The sequence below is a fragment of the Homo sapiens genome, chromosome 5 (assembly GCF_000001405.40).
Source record: "Homo sapiens chromosome 5, GRCh38.p14 Primary Assembly".
In the NCBI taxonomy this organism is placed as follows: Eukaryota; Metazoa; Chordata; class Mammalia; order Primates; family Hominidae; genus Homo; species Homo sapiens.
Genome location: NC_000005.10, coordinates 163,249,192 through 163,270,556, shown reverse-complemented (window position 1 = coordinate 163,270,556; position 21,365 = coordinate 163,249,192). Strand labels below are relative to the sequence as shown.

Below are 21,365 nucleotides of genomic sequence, written 5' to 3'. Positions count from 1 at the left end.
TGGCACTTTGTCACCTTTTAAAAAATATATCACTGTAAAATATGTAGCTGAAAAAAGTGGAATATCTTCCACTCTGTAATGCAATTACATAAATCGCTTTAGAATTCAACTTATATTTGTGAGGTTCATTCTGTGAAATTACGGGACTCTATTGGAAGTTTGTTTTTAGATGCTGTATTCCTTACCACTGCCCACTGGTAGATTTTAATGTTCAAGGTCCAATCAACATCCTTGAATAGAACTGAATTTTGCTTCCCTTTGTCAATATAAAAATTCTCTTCCAAAGACTGCAATGTATTTACTGGAATATTCAAAACCCACTGGTAATTTATAAATAAATCTACTGGGCAAGAATTAACCTTTTTCTTTATTAGAAGAACTTAAGTCCAATTGAGTGAAACCATAGGAGAATTAAAATGAAAGAGCTAATCAGGCTTTGCTGCAACTATAAAGAAAATGACGTGAAAATGTATGTTCTGAAGAATTTAAAGAAAATGTAATACATTTTTAAATCTTGTCACTATAATGTCAATATTGCACATTATAAGACTCTTCATTTCACCTGTGGGCAGTAGATAAATATTCAGGACTGAAATATTTAAAAGTGAAAGGTTGTGTAGTTTAAATTTTATGAGAAGAGATTATATTTCAGGTCTGCTTTCTTAGGACTCTGACAGTGGAATTTTTGAAAAATTCCTCTTCACTCTAAAGCTGAAGGTGGAGCCCTTGTGCTGTGTCCAAGAGACATTCTCAGCATTAACTCTTCCAAACTTGCTTATACAGTTTGTTTTAGTTCTGCAGTTCTCAAAAGGACATAGTCTAGAAAAAAAAAAAATGGTGGCTGTTTTTTAACTCTTGGATTACCACCTTGGATATCTTGTGGATAGATGGGATTTCACAGGACATGGTAAAACCTGTTGAGGTTTGGAGTTGGAGGTTTTTGCAGTGACTCGTGGTTTTGGCTCCTTCGGGGGGATAAGAGGAAACTGTCATTGTCCATGTCTGTGTGGGATGTTTCTCTGGAAATGTCTCTGCATGGCCTCAGTTTCACCATTTGCAAAATGAGTAGGTTCTCTTAGCTATCCAGGTAAGCTTGCCCTTTGAAAGAATGGGACCGTCCATGCTCCAGGTATGAGGGCAAGGGAAGAAAAGAGGTAAAAAACATTAACACACATGAAGTCCCTACTCTGTGTTTCCAGAACTTCACAATTGCTATCTCATTTTCTTTCCAACAAAAACCCTGTGAAGTAGATATGACTAGTACTCTTTTATAGATAAAGATGCCCGAGGTCAGTGACATTAATTTCTGCAAAGACACATATTGAAGAAGCGATAGGGCTGGGTTCAGGACCCAGCTTAGTCTAACTCCATTTTGGGGAGTATTGCTACTGTAATCAAAGCTTTGTGTACACTTGCAACATAAAATACGGAAAATAGTCTTTTTTTTTTTCCCCGAAGTGAAAGCAGAGCCTTAATTAAAAATAAATAGCATGAATTTAAACAACGTTGAAATATTAGTTTTGACCTATGAGCACAGTGAAAATAATTAACACATTGTTTTGACAAAGGCGCTGCAGAAGAGGTACTGTCATGCTGAGTATGCATGGGATCTATACATTTCACACATTTGAGAGATATTTAAGCATTATGTATATCATTAATTGCAAAAATCTTCACCTAGATTGTTTTTTATCTAGTTTTTCTTTTAGGTGATGTTTCATAAACACATCTTTCCCAGTTTGAAATTTTGAAAGGATTTTCAAATGGCTTTTTTAAACACTTTTATATTTCAGGAAATCTTTAATCTTTTTGGAATTTATCCAGGTGTAAGACAGAAGCAATTTTCCAAATGGCTATCCAGTTGTGCCAGCCCTCCTTATTGCATCAGTCACCTTTTCCTTGCTGCTTTGAGGTGCCCATAATATAAATTTCTGTGTGCTTTTGGGTTCATTTTTGCACTTTCTATTATAGTCCATTGATTATCTCTTCATGTGCTGTTGCCACACTGCTTTTGTTATTTTGGCTTTGTAATGTTTAATTCCTCTTTGGGCTCGTCCCTATTATACTCTGAATTTTTTTTTACCCAGATTTTTTTTTTTCCTAGCTACTCTCGTGTGTTTATTATATCATTTAAATCTCATAGTTAAGATTTCCGTACACTTATAGATTAAGGAGAAATAACATTTCTATTAATGTTTAGTCTTCCTAAGAATATGTTATACTTTGATTTATTTATCATTTTACATCCCTCAAGAGTATTTAAATCTGTTTGTTATTTAGATCTTGTTAATTATTTACTTACAATATTTATTCTTGGAGATTTATTTTTTATTGCTATTGATTTTTTGGTACTTTATGCCATTATTCGTTAGAAGTAGTTATTGTTTTTAGATATTAAAGCCATCAATTTTTGTATATTAATTTTATATCCAGCCTACTTACTTGTATTTGCTTTTTTTGGTAACAACTTTTCCACTTGGAATCTTGGATTTTTCTTACATACAATCATATCATCTTCAAATACTAAACAACTTTACGTCTTTATTTGTGCTAATTGGAACCTCCAGAACAATGTCAAATAATTGAAGTGAGGGAGGATAGCCATCTGTTTTTGTTTTATAGAAATTGTTTTCTAATGTTAAACCACGTCTGCACTTCTGGTTCTACTCCAGTTGGTTATTATGTTAAATTATTTTAATATGTTGCTGGATTCATTTTGCTAATGATTTTTTAAATCCTCACAAATGAAACTGATTTATAATTTCCTTTTTATTATACTCTTATTGGGTTTCATATCAAAATTAGTATTGCTTCATAAAATGAACTGTGAAGTTTTTCATCTTTTTCTATGGTCTGAAACAGTTTATAACAAAGGAATTATCTGTTCCTTGAAGTTTGGGAAAATGTGTCTCTAAAACATGAGTGTTTCATAATTATCTTTTTAATTTTTTGTATGGTAAGTAGTTTGTTAAAGTTTATTACGGATTACAGATTCAATATTCATAAAACATTGTCCAAGAGAAGTTTTTATTTCATTTAGAGTTTTTGATTTATTGGCATGAGGCTGTACAGAATGTTTTCTGATAATTTTTTTGACAATATAAATAAAATATAATTTTTTCACGCCAGTGAATTAATTGGCTAGGCAATGATTATCAATGGCTGCTACATCACAAAAGCAGAAATGATCAGATCTTGATGGAGGTTCACAATGTCATCTATGACGTTGTCTTATAAAATAATGGAATTTGAATCTTATGAAGCATCTAGATGTAACTGCCAATATTCAGCAAATGAAGAATATATAAGAATATATTAAACAGCACTGCAGGATATAATCAACAAACTCCAGACTGTAAGCAAACCACAGGATAAAAGACACCACTTCCTCAACAACAACAACAACAACATTTATAGGGGGAAAGCAAGAGCTAAAGAGAGAAGGGAAACCTATACATTAGAAGAGACCTAGAAGAATATCAACCAATTGTAATGTATGGATCTTATTTGGATTCTGGTTTAAACAAACAAACCAAGAAAATTATAAGAACTAAAAAATATGAAAACTTAAATATGAACACTGAATCTGTGATGATGATATAGTGCTGTCTTTAAAAGGAGATACTACTTTTTAGTGATACACACTGAATATTTACAGCTGAAATGGTTTGATATCTGACATATGCTTCAAAGTAACATAGGCTGCAGGGAGTGGATGGTGATAGCAATGAAACAAAATAAGCCATAGTAATTGCTGAAGCTGGTTAATGGGTACCTTAAGTTTTATTGTTCTATTCTTTCTATCTTTGTACATATTTGACATTTTTCAAAAATGAAAACCAGTAATACTTTGAATTTCCAGTTATGTTTTCTTTTTAATGATTAATATTGGTTATTTGATGTTTTCTTTTTTCATTTTTTTGATAATGCTTTCCAGAATTAAATAAGTCTGTTTTATTAATTTTTACAGAGAACCAGGCTTCCGTTTTATTAGTCTACATTTTCAAAATTTGATTAGTTTTCTATTATTTTCTGATTTTAAAAAATGCATCCCATGCATCCCATTCTCCTTTCTTCAGCTTCTTTTTTATTTATTTATTTATTTATTTATTTATTTATTTATTTATTTGAGAGGGAGTCTCACTGTTGCCCAGGCTGGAGTGCAGTGGTATGATCTTGGCTCACTGCAACCTCCACCTCCCGGGTTCAAGCCATTCTTCTGCCTCGGCCTCCTGAGTGGCTGGGACTACAGGCGCCTGCCACCATGCCAGGCTTATTTTTGTATTTTTAGTACGGACAGGGTTTCATCATATTGGCCAGGCTGGTCTCGAACTCCTGACCTCATGATTTGCCCACCTCAGCCTCCCAAAATGCTGGGATTACAGGCGTGAGCCACTGCGCCCGGCCTCTTCAGCTTCTTTTTAGCTGTATCCCTAGATGCTGTCTGAGACAGGAGTGAGGTTTGAATTTTTTCCCTGAGCATTTCAGTCCATAGTACTGTATCTGATCACTCTCTTTCTTCTACGAGACTGAGGATTAATTTCACGATGCCACACATCTGTATTTACTTTAGTAATCTCTAGAAGGCAAAATCTTCCTGGACTTTCATTATCACCCCCATTTTTGTCATCTGTACAGCAATCTGTACATCGCCAACCCCTCGTTGTTAGAATCCCAAAGCTTCCTGTATCCTCTGGGACCTGCGCTGTTGATTAGTAAAGTGTCCTGTGTCTCCTCTCCTCTTTGCATCATGTTCTGTTCTTATTGTGATCAAAATCTGTGTATTCTGTGCGTTCAATCCTCTTTTAAAAAGGCTGTATTTTCCTCTTCCCTCCTGCTCCATGTACCTCAAGTAGATGCTAAGATTTATATACTCATTCTCTATTACCTCTTCTAGACCAGAACCCTGTCTTATAAAAACCCCTGCTCCTTCTGGAAATGCATAATCTCTTTTTCCCCATAATGTCCCTACCTTATTGCATTGTCTTCCTTATGATTTCAATGCCTATTATCATGCTTGGCAAATCCAGTTGCTATCCTTCAACATCTGGTCTGTTAATTCCTTGAACTTTTAATGATCTTTTTCCTTTATTTACCAGCATAGTTTTTGATGGTTAGCATAGTTTAATTCTAAAATTTCCTTAATTTCTGTTTTTATATTTTATTATGAATACACTATGATTTTGAAAATATTTGCGAATAAATGCACATATTCCCATCACCTAAATTCTAACATTAACATTTTATTCTACTTGCTTACCACATAGCTATTCGCCTACCCATTGCTCGCTCTATGCATTAAGCCATCATATTCTTTTTTGGATAAATGTCAAAGTAAATTGCAGATTTCAGTATATTTCTGTCTATGTATTTCATAATGCATATCATTAACTACAGTTCAATATTCATTTACATGTTTATTTATTTATTTTTTGAGATGGAATCTCTCTCTGTGGCCCAGGCCAGAGTGCAGTGGCATGATTTTGACTCACTGCAACCTCTGCCCGCTGGGTTCAAGCAATTCTTTTGCCTCAGCCTCCCTAGTAGCTGGGATTACAGGTGTATGCTACCATGCCCAGCTAATTTTTGTACTTTTAGTAGAAATGGGGTTTTGCCATGTAGGCCAGGCTGGTCTTGAACTCCTGACATCAAGTGATCCACCCATCTCAGCCTCCCAAAGTGCTGGGATTATAGGCATGAGACACCATGCCTGGCCACGATTTAAAAATTATATACAATGAAATGCCCAACTCTTAAGTGTATCTTCACTGAATTTTGACAAATGCATATTGCTGCGTAATCCAAATCCAAATCAAGATATGGAATATTATCATGCCTATGAGCCCTAACGTTTCCTCATGCCCTGTCCCACTCAATCCTTTACACTTCCAGAGGTAAGCATTGTTCTGATTATTTAGCTCTATATCTATCTTTGCATTTGCTAGAATTTCATATGAATGAAATCAACTAGGTGTTTCTTTCTTGAACGGATTTTTTTGCTATATTTTAAAATTAATTTTTATTTAAATAAACTTTTTATTTCAAAATACTTTTAGATTTACAGAAATATTGCAAAGATAATACAGAGAGTTCTCATATACACCTCACCTAGTTTTTCCTATTGTTAATATTTTACATTACTGTGGTACATTTGTTACAACTAAGGAACCAACATCAGTACATTACTGTTAACAAATTTCTATACTTTATTTGAATTTTGATAGTTTTTAAAAATAATGTCCTTTGTCTGTTCCAGGATCCCATCCAAGATACTACTTTATACGTCTCTTTGGCTCCGTCTGGTTTGTGAACATTTCTCAGTCTCTTAATTTTTAATAACTTTAATAGCTTTGAGGTCAGTTTTTTTTGTTATTGTTTGTAGCGTATCCCTTATTTTGGGTTTGAAGTATTTTTTTCCATGATTAACATTAAGGAAGGAAAGAAGATCACAGAGATGAAGTGCCATTCTTGTTATATCATATTAAGATCTGGCTGAGGTAGCGCTTGTCAGAGTCTCCAGTGTAAATTTACCTTTTCTTCCTTTCTATACTCTTATTCTTTGTAAGTAAGTCACTAAGTGCAGCCTACACTTAAATGGTGGAGAGTTAAGCTCCTTGATGGGGCAGGGTCTACATAAGTTATTTGAAATTCTGTATGGGAGATCTAGTTCTTTTATGGAAAATTTATTTTTCCTTTACCAAATATTAAAAAATTATTAATTTCTATTCTATTCTATTATAAGGTAATGGCAAAATGGTCTCTACTTCTTGCAAATTATGGCTTCAGTAGGGGTTCAAAAATATGATTAATTTTTGTAAATGTTTTAAGGACATTCAAAAAGATTATACATGCTCTATTTCTTAGATACAAGAAACTTATTGTTACTCAAGTATTTTATGACCTTTTGCAATATTTGATTACTTGATATGTCATTTTAAATTAAGTATGTAAAGTCTCAACATTATTATAATGTTTATGAGTTCTTACATTTTTAGTGGTTATTCATTTATATATCTTTACTTTGTGTTATTAGGAGCATAAATTTTCTTTTTCCTGCTTGTTTGCTTTGGTGTAATGTAATTTCTACTAAAATGAAACAGCTTGCTCTAGTTCATTTAATACCTTCTGCCTTAAATTCTATATCTAATATTTTTTTTACCGTACTTGCTTTCATTTTGTTTACACTTACAGGTATACCTTTGTTCATACCTTGTAGTCAACCTTTTTTTTTCTTTTATATAGCATATAGCTATATAAAACTTAATTATATATATATATTTTCTTATTAGAAGAATATAATTTGGGTACATATATAGTGATTGCTGACACAAATAGGGTTATTATTTCCTTCGTATTTAATGTTTCTGTTTACCTATATTTCCTTTGTCTTATATTTTACTAAGTAAATTTTTTCTTTATTTTCTTGTTATTTTATTGTTTTAGATCACATTAATTTTAGTAATTCCTCTTAAATTTTAATGAACACATTTTAACCTAGTTTTCTAAAAAATTAAAAGTGATTAATACTTATCTCTTTCTAAAAACAAGATATAAGTGTTCTGCTACTTTTCTTCTCTTGGCATTCTGCATTTTTTTCTTTCTTTTTTTTTTTCAATCATGCTTTCAATTTCCAGTATGATATTGATTACCTTTTAAGATAGTACTTTCTTGTTTTACTTATAAAATATCTTAAGTGTCAAAGTCTGTTTTTTTAAAAAAAATTATCTTATGTTGCTTATATAATGTCTATTTCCTCTGAAGTCAGTTTTAATGTTTATTTTTATCTTTCTCTTTCATGTTCTTGTTGTCCTCAGATGTCTGGAGTTTGAAAGTTTTTTTTCAAATTTATACATAAAAGACAAAGTTGATTAAAAGACTAGATGGCACGTGAGTCCTCCACAGTTTTGTTTGCTTGTTTAAGAAACAGGACTGTCACAGGATTGGGAGGACTAACTACCAGCTGACTCTTTGTAAATAATGTGTACAGGGGATAGGTTGTCTTCTTAGGATGCATGGAGGGTGGGTACCAATCTCACGCTCTCTACTTCTGTCAAATTAAGGATGGCTTTGCTCTGAGTATAGAAAAATTTATTGTGGTAATAATATAACAATTGCAGGAGCAAACACTTGTTGAGGGTTTTATATAAATTAACTAATACTCCCATAATTCTGTGAGGTAGAGACTATTATATTATTTGATATAACAGATAAGAAAACATGTACCAAGGGCTTTAATTCACTTGTTCTACCTTATGCATTTAATGTGTTAAGGCTGTATAGCTATAAATATGAACAACACTAGTCATTCAGGCTCCAGAGACCATCCTCTTAACCACTGTAATTCTTGCTGCCTTTTACTTGAAGAGGAAAAAAAAATCATTTCAGTTTTGCACAGAGCTGCCTTTTCCTCTCTGTGTGTCTGCACTTATCTTAGTTCATTTCTGCTTCATTTCTAGGCCCCGCGCTTATGACAGGAAAATTCCTTTTTCAGTTCCTCTCCTGTATGTCCTTCTCTACTCTTGCTACTATCATCAGACCTCCCACTTTGTTTAGAGTAGTGGCATGTAATCAAATTTTCTGCTATAATAGAAATGATCTGGGGCTGTTCTGTCCAATACTGAAGCCACTAGCCACTCGTGTGTTGCCATATTGGACAGCATAGGTTTAGAGAACTGTTTTTTACTGTGCTCTATCTGGGATGCATGTTGCAATCAGCCTGTCTGTACACACGGATGTTGGCTGGAAACTGGCCCACTCGTTAATTACCCTGAGGGCTGTTCCATGTCCTGATGCTCCTTCCAGTTCTTGTTGACTCTAAACTTGGAGTTTTGTTGTATCACCACTGGGAAAAGTGGCTCTGTAGTGCCCCTCTCTTTTGTTTCTCTTTAATTGTCTCTCTTACTTGGACTCTTCTGTCAATCTTATTCTATTTGCTCTCTGCTTTTCAGAAATTTCTTCAAAGTTTGGCTCACTGATGAAATGATTTTCTATTTTCCAGAGTTTGTCAGTGTTTAAAAAAATACGTGTTTTTTGGTATTTTCCTAAGATTTTAGGAAGGAAATAAAGGCATGTACATATGATTATTTTATGATCTTGAGTCAGAGAGTTAATGTGCTTTCAACGATTTTACATGATATGTAATGTAATGGATGAACAACCATAACAAAAGTACTTTCTCTTTTCTGGAGCCATTAAGAAAATATTGTTCTTATTTAATATTTCAGAATAGAAGAAATGGTCTTAGTACCATGGGTAACTGTAAGCTATTTGGACCTCTTTTCGATGAATATAAGCAAGGACATTTTATTTTATATAATCTTTGCTCCTTTGTAAATAATAGATAGTCCTCTTTTCCTCTCTCCCTTTCTCCTTCACCTCTTCCTGTTTCCTTTCTCTGGCTGGTGCAGATAAGAAGTTCAAGTGTATTGGTGAGCAAACTTTCTCTTGTCAGTTTTTTTTTTTTTTTTGGTTTATATAAACATTGTAGTATTTGTGGAGACTTATTGCCATTTCATTTTATTTTATTTTTGGGCTTATTCACAATGAGGCTACTGGTCACTAAAATAAAGAATGTGTTTCTGGAGGGACACCAATAATATTTCTGAATTGCAATAGGAAGTTAAGAGGCTGCACAGCAGATGATATCATAATGCCTCCTACTCATACAACATTCTGATATGGGGATATGTGATGTTCATGATGTTTCAAACATTTATTCAGTTTGCAGAGTGTCATGATCATACTGTTCTTGGAGTGGGTGCAAAAGAGTAATTTTGCTTTTGAATCATAGTGTAACAAAGAAGGCTTTTAAAGACAAGGCACGAGAATAGTATGTGCTATTTTGGCTCTGAACAAAAATATTCCAGTGAACTCTATCTGCTTCCATCATGAAGGCACCTGGTGAGAAACACCTGCTGCTCCCCTCTTCTATCATTAAGGAACTTGATGTCAGGAAATAAAACTCTTCCACTGACATGTTCCGAAAAGAGATGTTGCAAAAATGTTGTATGTTGAGAAGGCTTTGATTTTGAGATGATAGCTTAGATCAACTGTGCTTTTCCTCCTCAGGATAAGTGTGTCAATATTTTTAATGACGTTGGTCATGGATATTATTTTATAGGATCTCCTTTCAGCAACAGACGTTATTAATATTTTGGTCAATATTCTTTCAAAATATTTTCCATGCTGTATGTAAGTATATGTATACTTTTATAATACTATAACCACACCAAACATACTAATTTAGGACATGTAAATTCATATACACTTCTTCATGTTGTTAAATATTCTCCTGCAACATCATTTTATTTTATTTTTATTTTTTTTGAGATGATGTCTCGCTCTGTCACCCAGGCTGGATTGCAGTGGCACTACTTTGGGTCACTGCAACCTCCACCTCCCTGGTTCAAGTGATTCTCCTGCCTCAGTGCGTGCCACCATGCCCAGCTAATTTTTGGTATTTTTAGTAGAGACGGGGTTTCACCATGTTGGCCAGGATAGTCTCGATCTCTTGCCCTCGTGATCCGCCCGCCTAGGCCTCACAAAGTGCTGGGATTACAGGCATGAGCCACCGTGCCTGGCCAACATCATTTTAAATGGCTACAGTGTTCTAATGAATAAATGTACTGTAATTTAACATCTCATTATTAAACAATCACAAATAGTGCTGTGATGAACACATTTGGATAGTTATTTTTGACAATATCATTGATTATTTCCTTAGAGTGAGGTTTCTCAACCTGGCACTATTGGCATTTGGGGAAGGATAATTATTTGTTGTAGAGGACCGTCCTGTGCACTGTAGAGCGTTTAGTAACATCCCTGGCCTCTACCCACTAGATGCCAGAAGCATCCCTACCCTGGTGGTGACAGCCAAAACTGTCTCAAGACATTGCCAAATGTCCTTGGAAGCCAAAATCCTCCCCCATTGAGAACCACTGCCACAGAGTAAATTATTTAAAAAAGAATTTCTCACACAAATCATATGCACAGATTTAATTTAAAAAAATCTATGTGGGTTTTATTTTCACTTTAAATAAAGTAATAGAAAGTTATAAAGAGACAACTTTAAATTTGTGGAAAATGTTTTTCCTAAACCAAGGGTGTCCAATCTTTTGCTTCCCTGGGCCACATTGGAAGAAGAATTGTCTTTGGCCACACATAAAATACACTAACATTAACAATCACAAACAATCTTATAATGTTTTAAGAAAGTTTACCAATTTGTATTGGGTTGCATTCAAAGCTGTCCTGGGCCACATGCAGCCCACAGGCTGCGGGTTGGACAAGCTTGCAAACCTTCCCTACCAAAGTTCTTAAGGTGTAGTGTACCTGGTGATAAATACAGGTGGGGTCCTGTTTTATTGTTAGCTACAGAAAAATCTTTCTGTGTAGGTATATCTGTGAGCTTTAAGTGATAAATCTCACAGATATGGAATGAGAGAAGACCTAGCTCTCAAACTGCTTCTTATCTTTTTGACTACGTAATATTTCATGATTTCAGATTCTGTAACCACATTACACATTTTTTTTTTTACACCTAGTGTTTCCCTTTTCTAAGCAGTAAATAGACTGATTAAGTGTTTGGATTTGGAATCAGTCAAAGTAAGATTCTGATGTGATATCTTACCAGTTTCTAACTAGTTAATCTTGGGCTGCTTTAATCCTCAGTTTCTGTAACTGAAAGATGGGAATAAGGTTTACTATCCAGAGTGGTTGGAAAAATTAAAAGTCAAATGTTTTAAGGCTCTTGACAATGCTTGGCACCTACAGAGCACTCATAATAGTATCTACCCCCTCCAAATTGAAAGAATAATAATAAATTTCCTCAAATTAGTTTTGTTTCGCTACGCTCTCTAAGGAGGCATTTTAGCAGTAAAAGTTGTCTCAAAAGATTTTGCTGGTTGAGTAGATGAAGTTGTAATATTTTAGGGGTGTAACTTTTATAATTGTGTAAGAGAGAGCATGATAGTTTCTTCTTAATGAGTTATTTGGAACAGAAACCCATTGGATGTGGGAAAAAATACTAGAAATTTGATTTTCTGTATATTTTAAATGTCATGTTTTAATTTTAATTTTTGTATTTGGTAATATTAGTAAAATGGTGTGATGTATGTGACTTTGTGACTGCTTGCTCAAAATTTCTTTATTGCTGATGTGTGAGAGCAACATCTGTTTTGGAGACCACTGACTGAAGGTATTTTTTTTTTTTTTTTTTTACTGTTTCTGTGATTTGAGAGAGAGACAAGGAGTTGGAAATCTCACTGACTGTCAGAATCCCCACAATTCACTGTGTGTTGTTTCAACATTATTATGCTTAAAGTTTCATTATTCTTGCAGTTTTCAATCACAGCAGAGGTATATTTTAAATGTTCCCACCCCAGTTGTTCTCTCAAGATTGACTGAAGTGGGGAGCAGGATGCAGCATTTGCCTAAGTCACAGATAGCACCTGGGAAGATTTTATTTCTCTCTGTTTTAGAAATGTAAAATAGAACAAGAGATTCTTTCTCTTTTGAAAAATATAAGCTAGCTATCAAGTGACAACAATGGCCAAATTAACTCTTGTCCTAGTCCCTCTCGCCTATCTTCCTGTGAAATAAGAATACCTTGAAGAAATGGAGACATTCCCTGATGGAAGGCATACTAGGATATCAGGTTTTAGAAGCTGGTGGAAGGGAGTGGGTTGTGTATGTGTGGGTGTGTTTGTGCACACTCAGTCATGTTTTAATAGGGGACCCAATATTCACTGGTGTCTGACAGGCTCTTTATACTGTACACTTACCATCCAATTTCGCCTTCACACAGGCAAGATAAGAGAGAAGAGAATCTCTTGCCACCTCATGTAAACATTTTTGTCAAATAAAGAAAGAATAGGTGGGAAGTTAAGGTCCTATTGTATCCACATTGACTTCACCCCTGCCACTGCTACCTTAGTGTTCCCCTCCACAGACTTATTGGTATTTTATACTTCCAGAAATTTCTATGTACACAAGGAAAAAAATATGTATATGCTGTTTTCACAAATGAGAATCATAGCATGGAAATGGAAATCATGTGATAGCTATTGCTATTCAAACTACTTTTCTTCACTTTGCAATATCATTGGGATAATTTCCGTATCAGTATATATAGATTTACCTCATTCTTTCTAGATCCTCACGACATTCCACTGCATGGATTTACTATAATTAATTTAGCTACTTCCTTATTCAACACTGTAATATCATCTGTATGCATCTCTGAACACTTACCTAGGGTTCAATTTATAAAAATGGGAATTACTGTTTCAAAATGTATGCATGTTTAAAATTTAGATTCAACAACAAGAGTGCATCAATATATCCTCCCATAGGTGAGAAATTTTTTCCCAAATTCTCATATGGTTTAAATTTTGGGGTAAAAATAGCATTTAATTTTTGCCTTAATTTATTATTCTTGAATAATGAGTGAGATTGAGCATCTCTTCATAAGCCTATTTGTGTGTGTATCTCCTGGAAATAAGTGGTTTTATAATCATTATCAAGAAGGCCCTCCCATCGTACTGGTTGCATCTCTGTTTTTGTACTTAGGGTCACCAAGGAAGCCAGAGTGGAGGCTGCAGGGAATATGGATTTAAATGAATTTTGGCTGTACCATCAAGCAGTCTGATCACTGAGGAAATATCAAAAGCTTCACCCGAGTGACTCATCACCCAAATTCAACAGAGGTAATAGAATAACTTACATTGCTCAACCTTTTGGCTATTTAGTTGGCTGTGTGAGATCAATGGTGCCCACTTTCTCTGCTGGATTTTGCTTTGGGAAAGAGATTTATTGGTTAGATCTCACATTACAATGCCATCAGTGTCTTTGGGACCCGATTCCCAATACTCAGAAGCATAGAACAAAATTATTTAACATCTTGGCCTCAGGTAACAATATCTACTTCATTGAGTTGGATCAGGCATCAAATTCTGTGGGGATATACTATTGTCCACTGCATGAGCTCTCCTTCATCTTGTTTCATTATTTTCTGAGACTTTGCTTTGTATTGGATAGTGAAAAGCTTGTGGCTAGAGATAAACCAAAGTGGCAATTTTAGGAGACATGTGAAATTGAAATGTGACTGGTCATGCATATGGATTATTAGATGTATAATGTATAATATAGCTTTCTATATGTAGTGTTACCTAGATTGGGCTCATGTGCTATTATTATGATTTTAAAATGTATTGCTTTTTCCATGAAGTTCAGATGGTCTGACTAGTTTATATTCTCTAAACATTTCTTGTTTTACTCTTTCATCAGTTTCTACTCTTAAAAATTCACTGCATGGTCTCTACAGAGAAGAAGCAAAGGTTCTGCACTGCTACAGCTTTCTGTTAAAAGACAGAGCGTCCACATTTTCTCTCATTTTACTCTGAGACGGCCAGTCTGTTTTACAGTCTCCCACACACACTTTTCTTCTCTCAAAGACATTTCCAAGTTTAATATTATATTTTAAAAAAGTCTAGAATCACGCAGGCTTTAAAAGAAATACCAGGAATTAAAAACCAGAAACAACTCCCATATAGAGCCATTTACCACATCTATCTAAAAATTACAACAATGCCTTTGCTAGTTAAATTATTGCAGAATTGCTAATATCATCTACTTTTCAAAAGCATTAAAATAAAATTGTTTAGAAGTAATTTCATTTATTAAAAAAATTGGGCAGAATAAAGAATATATGTCTTTATATTGGTATAAGATGATTAAATATTTTTCATGGAAAATGAGACATTTCAAAGATTAATCTTAACAGGGAAGTCTTTTCCTATGTAAGTATTTTATCTCTTTACACTGTATAATATTGGAGAATTTCTGATAATTTGTGGTTTTGAAAACTATAGGGTCTTAGAATTTATTCATTTGAAGATCTTTTAGCTTTTATTATGAGGGTACACTGACCAAAACAAATTATATGTCTCATGTTATTCTTCGTAGTGCATCTAGTCTGGTCAAATGGAATCATGTACCTCTGAAATAATAGTGAAAGAAAGCTATAAAAGAAGAAATTGCATGTAATTGTAGTAAAGGATAAGCGTTTACTGATCAGACAGAAAATACCAAAGACATACTTGCTCTCTGTGCCTGTGTTATGGTGATGGGTTAGTAATATTATTTTGTATAAAAAAGACTTTTTAAAATGTATTACATTTTTCTGTACTGAAGAGCATAAAATAATCTAGAGTGATCTGTAATTCTTGCCAGAAAGAGACTTTGACATTGGATAGGATCACTTTTACAGTCTATTCATTTATCCAAAAAGCATGTATCGAAGGTAGGTTTCTTGTATGGACACTGCTAGGTACAGAATTTGGGGTGTGTACGTTAGTGGTAAAAAGTTCATGTTAGTGTATGTTAGTGGCGAAAAGATCAGTAATCGTTGCACAGGGTATGGGGAGCAATCTTTTTTTTTAACTTTTTTTAAAATTATACTTTAAGTTCTGGGATATATGTGCAGAATGTGCAGATTTGTTACACAGGTATACACATGCCATGGTGGTTTGCTGCAACCACCAACCCATCATCTACATTAGGTATTTCTCCTAATGCTATCCTTCCCCTAGCTCCCCAATCCCGTGACAGGCCCCGGTGTGTGATGTTCCCCTTCCTGTGTCCATGTGTTCTCATTGTTCAGCTACCACTTATGAGTGAGAACATGCAGTGTTTGACAGTAAATGATAATATAAAGAAGAATGAGAAGTAGTCATCAATGGTAAAAATGATGTAGTAATCACTGCTGATTTTAGCAGGGTGTTTACTAATTTCCCATCATTAGTGAAGGACTTGACCATCCATTGTGAATATTATGTCATCCTCCCAACATCCAACTGCCTCTTCTTCCTTATCTTATACCTACTGTGCAGTTTATAGATGGAAAGATGCTTTCCAGGATTTGTAATCCCTTTCTCTGTGCTAGGGTGAGCAGGTCTGAGCCAATTAGTGCAAGGAATTCCCTTGCCCCAGGCAATGGTTCAAGGATGGGACTTTGTGAATGTGAATGGGAAGAGCCATTTCTCATGTGAATGGGAAGAGCTATTCACATCTGGACTACAGGCCATGAGAGGTTTTTCTGAGAATGGCTGGAAAAGTTCTCTCACTATTTTGGGAGAACTTTTTGAAGTGATCATTTTGTTCATTCCTTTGCTTTGGAAGAAGAAGCTCCTTGTACCTGTGAGGGAAAGCAAGCCTGCTGACTCCACAGAAGGCAGAACAGAGGGAGTAAAAAAGAAACCACTTCTTGAATCTGTGGCTTAGCCACTGAAATCAAACCCAGCCTGAAGACTCTTTTTTCTCTGGACTTTCAGATTAGTGGGCCAGTAATACACTTTTGTTGCTTATGCTAGTATGAGTTATGTTTCCTCTTATCTTCAACTAATCTAAATTATACCCAGAAGTTATCTCTTCCATCTTCATAATGATTCTGTGAAATAGATGTTATTACTGTTATCATTTTAGGGGTGAGGAAACTGAAGTCTTAAGGTTAGAACACTTGTCCTGAACCACAGGGGCGCAAAGTGGAAAAGCCAGGACTTTACCTGCATAATTTAATCCAATGACCACATTCCTAAGCACTGTGTTCCACAGCTTCACATGCTTTGTGGATCCAGAGACAATGTCAGTCAACTTGGAAATGTAGAAAACTCATCACTATGGTGGAAGCATTTGATCTGGCCTGTAGGTAGAACTTAAATCAACAAGAGATGGAGCTGAAGCAACAGCTTTAGAGTAGAGGAGGTAAAGTAGCTGAGGCTGGCGTCTAATCTCTGTGTAGTTCCTTAAGGGGGGTGATAGGAGATGGGACCCATAGGAAAGCTTGGGGGTCCCACAGAGGTTAGAAGACAAAGATTGAGATCAGAAAGGCATGGCAAAATTAGATGGAGGAGGTTAATAAAAGGAGGATTCCCTGAAAGGGAATGGTCAAACAGTGGAGGAATCAGAAACATTGAGGCTGGTACCCACCTACCTGTAGTTTTTGAGATAATGGGATGGTAGGGTGAGGGACGGGTTAGAAAAGAAAATGATCACCAGGATTTGCATATACTTAGGAGTTCAGTGTCATCATAATCAGGGAAGGGCCATGTTTCAGTTTAGGAGAGAAGGTGGAGGAAGTATTGCCAGAAGGATTGAGTCAGAATGTGTGTATAAAGGTTCAAAAAAGCACAGTGAAGGATCGGTTACCAGGGATATGGAGGATGGATGTATGAGGATAACTGTGCTGGGTTTGAGATGGCTAGTGGGCTGGAAGCATGTGCATTTTGGTCACTAACGATTAAAACTGGGAATCGTGGGAAGGAAAGAGGCTGTTTCCAGCTTGAGCAGCTTCCCAGGTTACATTTACATACGTGGATTCCTTCACAATACTGACTGCCAGTGCACCATGTCCTGCCGGCAGAAGGGAGCTGAGGTGGCTATGGCAACCTGAAAAACCTCAAACTATTAATATTCACAAACATATGGAGGCTGCAATTCTTTAAAAACAATAACATCAGCAGTGGCAGTGGCAACAGGACCAAGCATAGTAATTTGTAACTCTCACCTCTGGAGAAACACGGAGCTGCATATATTATTTTTTAATAATCAGCCACAAATTAACTAAGTGCTGCAATCCTGAAACCCGCTTTTCCCTGTAGCTTGTCATTATCAGCAGATGTCAAAACAAGTAAAATAAATGGACTAGGTTTCCTTGAGATGTTTGTTGATAATAATTATTTGCCTCAAAAAAATTAAAAATTGTATGTCTGGCAGCAAAAGCTCCTTCCTCGGTTATTACTTTAAAGTGTCTTTTTCATCTTTGAATATCTGGTAGAGATTGTTAGACTCTGCCTTCCTCCTTTTCTGAATCATCAAATTCAGTGGTTCAGTTGAAGAACCACTGATTAAAATCCACTGTGGGTTTGCAATTAGAAATGCACATTCCTGGTTCCCCACCCTAGAGATGTGGATTCATTAAGTCTAGAGTAGGACCCAGGAATTGGTATTTTAAGTGAGCTCCCCCACGTAATTCTGTTGGTGAGACAGTGAGAAACAAAGCTTTGGAAACAAAGCTTTAGCTTTGGAGAGCTGGTGGCTGAAGCTTACAATAGGGAGGTGTGCTCTTCTGTTTTGGAAGTTGTTTTTGTTTTTTTTCTAACCCCATTCTTTCTTCTTCATCATAAATCTTTGCTCCTAGAGACAGAATGTTATGATGGAAAAAGCTCTGGGACCAGCATGAGGTCTGGATTGGAGTCCCTGGTGTGGCATTTATAAAACGTGAACCCTAGACTGAGACAGGTAAACTTATTCTGAGTCTCAGTTTCTCCATCTTTGAGATGCCCTAAGAGTCTTCCTCAGAGCTCTAGTGATGATGTTTAGAGAGTATCTTATCCAATACCTAGTACATAATAAGTGCTTAAATAATACTATTATTATGACCTTGATTTCTCCTTGGCACTAACTTGTTGCACCTGCTTCTAGGGTTGCCAACACAGAAATGTTACCTTGTAGAGGATTACTTGTGTCGTGCACACACTAGGGGAACTTTTCTGCTCTTTTACTCTCCTCTTTCCCTTTTCCTTAGCCTTAGAAAGAAAGCCCATCAGTGAGGACCTGAGCCCAGTGATGAGGTGAAGAAAGGGAAGTGGTCCTCAAGAGAAAACAGCAGAGCGAGAGTATGCCGGCAATGAGATTCTCAGAAACCCCCAATCCTGCACAGGGAACTAAATGAAGTATGGTGCTGTCAGCATTTGTAGCATCTGTTGGTGGCACTGAGTAGAGGAAGTAGATGCTATTATCTTTGCCATATCTGCCTTTTCTTCTTGAAAGTTGACAAGGTGAGGTCGGTTGGGGACAGAAGTTAGAGAAGGATTCCCTTGCTAACATTGTCTTCTCTGTGTTCTGTGTCCCCTCTGTGTACTATAGACACAGAGACCTGGTGAAATGGTGAAGAGAGAAAGAATGCTCAAAGTTCTGTGTGTACTGCTTGTGCATTCCACAAAACCTGTTACCCATCTGGTGTTTCGGCATAATAGAAGTTTCTAGTTTCAGAAATATCATTGAATAGGGCCTCGTGGATAGGGGTAGATATTTTAACTTTTGGCTTGGATCATGGATTCCATAAAGACAGAATTTCTTGGAAATTCTCAATATATTTCTTAATGCAGCAGTGCCAAAGGGCTTTAATAGTTTTGATATAGATTTTAAATTGATGGCTTATGGGCAGAATTTCTCTTTCAAAATGTCTACTTCTTATCAGTATTATATTTTAAAAATGAAATTTCTCCTATGTAAACAAATAATCAAGCAAAAGCAACCAAGAAATTTTGCCTTTAAATTCAAATTTCAGGCTTTTTTTTTGAATAGTCCAAAGACGTGACAATATTGGCCGAGGAGCAGGAATTGAATGTACCAGTTTGTCACAGGCCCCACCCGCTCATTATGTTTCTTGCCTGGACTTCAGAGGCATTGGGAGCTCAGACTTGAGTACCAGCTCTAGACTCAGACTGCCCTGGTATAAGTACCTGCTCTTCCAGTTATCCTATATAACTCTGGGCAAGCTAGTTAATCTTTGTGTTATTTTTTTTGTCTGCAAAATAGGAATAATGTCTTAGTCAGTTTGGGCTGCTATAACAGAATAAAAAAAGAAAAAACTTCCCCACAATACTGTTGTTATATCTTAGAAGAAATAACCCAAGTACCATATTACTTATGCAATTCATATGTAAGTTTCCTCAATTGTCCTGCAATTATCTTATGTGATTTTTCTAAAAGAAGAGTCCAATGTTCACATGTTTGGATGAATTTTAACCTCTTTTAATCTAGAGTAGTCCCTCCATCTTTTTTTTACATGTTAAAGTGAGATATAGTTGAAATAAAACTGCATATATTTAAAGTGTATAATTTGATAAGTTTAGACATGTATACATGGTGAAACTATCATCACAATCTAGGCAATGAATGTATATGTCACCCCCAAAGCTTCTTGGTTCCCCTTTGTAAACTTTCTCTGTTGTCCTCACTCTACTTTCCTCCCTCATCCTCTGGCAACCACTGATCTTTCTGTCATTAGAGATAATTTGAATTTTGTAGGTTTTCATGTAAAGGGAATCATACAGTATGTACTATTTTGTGTCTGGCTTCTTTTCCTCAGTGTAACTATTTTGAGATTCCTCCATGTTTTTGCATGTGTCAATAGTTCATCCTTTTGTTGCTGCACAGCATTTCATCTTGTGGATATATCACAATGTGTTTATCCATTTACCTGTTGATGCCCATTTGGGTTGTTTCCATGATTTGGCTTTTCCAAAGAAAGTTGCTGTGACTATTGGTGGGCAAGTCTTTGTACAGACATTTGCTTTTTTTGTCTTGAGTGTATTTCTAGATTGGAATGGCTGAATCATATAGTAGGTATATGTTTAACATTTTAAGAAACTGCAAAGCTGTTTTCCAAAGTGGTTGTAGCATTTTACATTTTCACCAGCAATGCAAGAGAGTTCCAGTTCCTTCTTGCCAACATACTTGGTAAGGTATGTTTTTAAAAAAATTTAGCCATTATAATGGCTGTGCCTCAGTCTTTCTTCTTTCTTTTTTTCTTCCTTACTTTCTTGCTCTCTTGCTTGCTTTATTTTTTTGGTGTATGTCTGTTTTTGGTTTTCATGACATTCACTTTCGAAGAGTTCAAGAAAGTCACCTTGTAGAACAATGTGTATTCAGGAGTTTTTGAAGGTGTTTTAAAGGACACTTTATTGTGCCCTTTTATTTTGTAGTCTTTGGTAGGCAGTCACTTTGTGGATTCTCTGATTGTCAACTGCAGATGAGATGGATACAAGGCAGGAGGCGTCTGCCCATGCCATAATAATGGGATTGTCTTATGAAAGTTTATTCTGGAAAAAAAAATCAGTATTAAATCTTAAAAAAAAAATTATAATCCTATAAGAAAGCTCAAATTGGCTGCGCGTGGTGGCTCATGCCTGTAATCCGAGCACTTTGGGAGGCCGAGGCGGGCGGATCATGAGGTCAGGAGATTGAGACCAGCCTGGCCAACATGGTGAAACCCCATCTCTACTAAAAATACAAAAATTAGCTGGGCGTGGTGATGCGTGCCTGTAATCCCAGCTACTCGGTAGGCTGAGGCAGAAGAATCGCTTGAACTAGGGAGTCGGAGGTGCAGTGAGTCTGTCTCAAAAAAAAAAGAAAGCTCAAATTTTACCCAGCTTTGGACTTTAGTATAGAGGTGGAGTATCTGGAGTGGCATGCCAAATTTGGTTGAGTTGCACTTTTATATGATAGGCTTCACTCCCTTAAGCTAATATGGCAACAATTTCTGAGTAAAAATGCCTATTTCTGCTTTAAGACCTCTCTTT

At 35.7% G+C, this 21,365-nt stretch overlaps 1 long non-coding RNA gene across 3 annotated transcripts in view; it reads left to right on the top strand.

Annotated features, from left to right (window-relative positions):
• The window catches only part of LOC105377700 (uncharacterized), a 348,217-nt gene that overhangs the window by 166,766 nt on the left and 160,086 nt on the right, over window positions 1-21,365 (top strand). For 2 of the 3 annotated variants that reach the window (XR_001742961.2, XR_002956233.2), the window contains exon 2: window positions 13,570-13,706. This is a non-coding gene — a long non-coding RNA (uncharacterized LOC105377700). Of the gene's footprint in view, window positions 1-13,569; window positions 13,707-18,196; window positions 18,578-21,365 lie in introns of those variants that run through there. The other variant, XR_001742965.1, reaches the window with a different exon arrangement.